Here is a 4,304-nt window from a genome sequence, read left to right on the forward strand (position 1 = left end):
TGGTACAAACAAATGCAGACTGTGAAGACTACAATAAATACCTAAATCTTCAATGTGAAGACATTTATAAACATCTACAAGCATCAAGACCATCCAGGAAAACATGACCTCACAGGATGAACTAAATAAGGCATCAGGGACCAATCCCAGAGAGACAGAGATATGTGACCTTTCATACAGATAATCCAAAATACTGTTTTGAGGAAACTCAACAAAATCCAAGATAGCAAGATGGCACAGAGATGGAATTCAGAATACTATTAGATAAATTTAACAAAGAGATTGAAATAAAAAGAATCAAGCAAAATTCTGGTGCTGAAAAATGCAATTGACATACTGAAGAAGCATCAAGATCTCTTAAAAGCAAAATTCATAAAGGAGAAGAAAGAATTAGTAAACTTTAAGAAAGCCTATTTGAAAATATATAGTCAGAGGAGACAAAAGAAAAAAATAAAAATGAATAAAGCACATGTACAAGAGCTAGAAAAAAGGGCAAATCTAAGAGTTATTAGCCTTAAAGTGGAGATAGAGAAAGAAATAGGAAAATTTTATTCAAAGACATAACAACAGAGTAATTTTCAAACCTAGAGAAAGATATCAATATTCAAGTACAAGAAGATTATAGAACACCAAGCAGATTTAACCCAAAGAAGACTATATCAAGATATTTAATAATCAAACTTCCAAAGGTCAAGGGTAAAGAAAGCAGCAAGAGAAAAGAAACAAATAACATATAATGGAGCTCCATTAAGTGTGGCAGGAGATTTTTCAGTGGAAAATTTATAGGCTGGAGAGTGGCATGACATATTTAAAGTGCTCAAGGAGAGAAAAAAAAACAACAACATTTATTCTAGAATTGTCTATCCAGAAAAAAAATCCCTCAAAAATTAACAAGAAATAAGCAGTTTCCCAGACAAACAAAAGCTGGGAGGGATTTCATCAACATCATAACTGTCATACAAGAAATGCTAATGGGAGTTCTTCAATTTGAAAACAAAAAGATGTTAATGGGCAATAGGAAATAATCTGAAGGCATAGAATTCACTAGTAATAGTAAATACACTGAAAAACAGAACATTATAACACTGTAATTGTGGTGTATAAACTAATATCTCAAGTAGAAAGATTAAAAGGTAAACCAATCAAAATAATAACTACAACTTTTCAAAACAGTACAATCAGATATAAATATAAAAGAACAGAAATATAAAAAGGGGGGACAAAGTTCAAGTGTAGAATTTTTATTAGTTTACTCTTTGCTTACTTGTTAGCTAGTGTGTGCAATCAGTGTTAAATTGTCATCAGTTTAAAATAATGGGTTGTAACATATTATTTGCAAGCTTCACAGTAACCTCAAAACAACAAACATATAACAGATACACAAAATAAAAAGCAAGAAATTAAAACATGCACCAGAGAAAATCACCTTCATTAGAAGGGAGACAGGAAGGAAGAAAAGAAGAAAGAGTAGACCACAATACCACCTGTAACATGTGTGTGTATTTGTTACATGAAAAGATGAAACAAAATGGCAAGAGTAAGTTCTTACTTATCAATAATAACCTTGAATATGAATACATGGAACTCTTCAATCAAAAGGCACAGAAGTGCTTAATGTATTAAAAAACATAAGATCTAACAATCTATTGCTTATAAGAAACAAATTTACCTATAAAGACATACATAGCCTCCAAATAAAGGAATGGAAAAAGATATTACATATAAGTGGAAACCAAAAAAGAGCAGGAGTAGCTCTAGTTATATCAGACAAAAGAGGTTTCACGACAAAACAATATAAAACAAAAGTCATTATATTATATGCCCCAACACTGGAACATTCCAGATATATAAAGCAAATATTATAACTAAAGAGAGAGCTGAACCTTAATACAGTAATAGCTAAAAATTTTAACACCCTACTTTCAGTATTAGAGGGATCACCTAGACAGAAAAATCAACATAGAAACATTGGACGTAATCTGTACTATAGACCAAATGGACCTGAAAAATATTTACAGGATATTTTATCTAATGGCTGCAGAATATATTCTCCTCATCGCACAAATTATTCTCAAGGATAGACAACATTTTACACAAAATGAGACTTAAAACATTGAAAAAATTGAGATTATATCAAATATCTTCTCTGACCATAATGGAGTAAGGCTAGAAATCAATAATGAGTTTGGGAATCTATACAACTACATGGCAATTAAACAATATGCCACTGAATGACCAGTGGGTAAATGAAAAAATTAAGAAGGAAAATGAAATTTTTTTGAAATGAATAACAGAAACACAACATTCCAAAACCTGTGAGATACAGTGAATGCAGTACTAAGAGGGAAGTCTATATCTCTAAGTGCTTACATCAAAGAAGTAAAAAACTTCAAATAACCCAAAAAAACTAGAAAAGTAAGAGCAGACCAAACCCCAAATTAGTAGAAGAAAAAATAAAGGGTAGAGCCAAGATGGCTGAATAGGAACAGCTCTGGTCTACAGCTCCCAGCATGAGCGATGCAGAAGATGGGTGATTTCTGCACTTCCATCTAAGGTACCGGGCTCATCTCACTAGGGAGTGCCAGGCAGTGGGTGCAGGACAGTGGGTACAGCACATTGTGCATGAGCCAAAGCAGGGCGAGGCACTGCGTCACTTGGGAAGTGCAAGGGGTCAGGGAGTTCTCTTTCCTAGTCAAAGAAAGGAGTGACAGATGGCACCTGGAAAATCGGGTCACTCCTACCCTAATACTGCGCTTTTCCAAAAGGCTTAAAAAACGGCACACCAGGAGATTATATCCCGCACATGGCTCGGAGGGTCCTACGCCCACAGAGTCTCACTGATTGCTAGCACAGCAGCTGAGATCAAACTGCAAGGTGGCAGCGAGGCTGGGGGAGGGGCGCCTGCCATTGCCCAGGCTTGATAAGGAAAACAAAGCCACCGGGAAGCTCAAACTGGGTGGAGCCCACCACAGCACAAGGAGGCCTACCTACCTCTGTAGGCTCCACCTCTGGGGGCAGGGCACAGACAAACAAAAAGATAGCAGTAACCTCTGCAGACTTAAATGTCCCTGTCTGACAGCTTTGAAGAGAGTAGTCATTCTCCCAGCACACAGCTGGAGATCTGAGAGCCGGCAGACTGCCTCCTCAAGTGGGTCCTGGAGCCCCGAGCAGCCTAACTGGGAGGCATCCCCCAGTAGGGGCAGACTGACACCTCACACGGCAGGGTACTCCTTTGAGACAAAACTTCCAGAGGAACGATCAGGCAGCAGCATTTGCGGGTCATCAAAATCCGCTGTTCTACAGCCACCACTGTTCTGCAGCCACCGCTGCTGACACCCAGGCAAAAAGGGTCTGGAGTGGACCTCTGGCAAACTCCAACAGACCTGCAGCTGAGGGTACTGTCTGTTAGAAGGAAAACTAACAAACAGAAAGGACATACACACCAAAAACCCATCTGTACATCACCACCATCAAAGACCAAAAGTAGATAAAACCACAAAGATGGGGAAAAAACAGAGCAGAAAAACTGGAAACTCCAAAAACCAGAGTGCCTCTCCTCCTCCAAAGGAACGCAGCTCCTCACCAGCAATGGAACAAAGCTGGATGGAGAATGACTTTGACGAGTTGAGAGAAGAAGGCTTCAGACAATCAAACAACTCTGAGCTACAAGAGGAAATTCAAACCAATGGCAAAGAAGTTAGAAACCTTGAAAAAAATTAGACGAATGGATAACTAGAATAAGCAATGCAGAGAAGTCCTTAAAGGAGCTGATGGAGCTGAAAGCCAAGGCTTGAGAACTTCATGAAGAATGCAGAAGCCTCAGGAGCTGATGCAATCAACTGGAAGAAAGGGTATCAGTGATGGAAGACGAAATGAATGAAATGAAGTGAGAAGAGAAGTTTAGAGAAAAAAGAAAGAAAATAAATGAACAAAGCCTCCAAAAAATACGGGACTATGTGAAAAGACCAAATCTACATCTGATGGGTGTACCTGAAAGTGACGGGGAGAATTGAACCAAGTTGGAAAACACCCTGCAGGATATTATCCCGGAGAACTTCCCCAATCTAGCAAGACAGGCCAACATTCAGATTCAGGAAATACAGAGAATGCCACAAAGATACTCCTCGAGAAGAGCAACTCCAAGACGCATAATTGTCAGATTCACCAAAGTTGAAATGAAGGAAAAAATGTTAAGGGCAGCCAGAGAGAAAGGTCGGGTTACCCACAAAGGGAAGCCCATCAGACTAACAGCAGATCTCTCAGCAGAAACTCTACAAGCCAGAAGAGAGTGGGGGCCAATATTC

At 38.7% G+C, this 4,304-nt stretch overlaps 2 annotated features.

Moving 5' to 3' along the window:
- Positions 2,431-2,932: an enhancer, noted in NCBI's record as "H3K4me1 hESC enhancer chr6:115571209-115571710 (GRCh37/hg19 assembly coordinates)". NCBI's record gives its function as "activates a minimal SCP1, AML or CMV promoter by ChIP-STARR-seq in primed H9 embryonic stem cells {active_cell/tissue: H9 hESC(primed)}" and the evidence as "EXISTENCE:reporter gene assay evidence [ECO:0000049][PMID:30033119]".
- Positions 2,933-3,432: an enhancer, noted in NCBI's record as "H3K4me1 hESC enhancer chr6:115571711-115572210 (GRCh37/hg19 assembly coordinates)". NCBI's record gives its function as "activates a minimal SCP1, AML or CMV promoter by ChIP-STARR-seq in primed H9 embryonic stem cells {active_cell/tissue: H9 hESC(primed)}" and the evidence as "EXISTENCE:reporter gene assay evidence [ECO:0000049][PMID:30033119]".

Source organism: Homo sapiens, chromosome 6, assembly GCF_000001405.40.
Source record: "Homo sapiens chromosome 6, GRCh38.p14 Primary Assembly".
Lineage (NCBI taxonomy): Eukaryota > Metazoa > Chordata > Mammalia > Primates > Hominidae > Homo > Homo sapiens.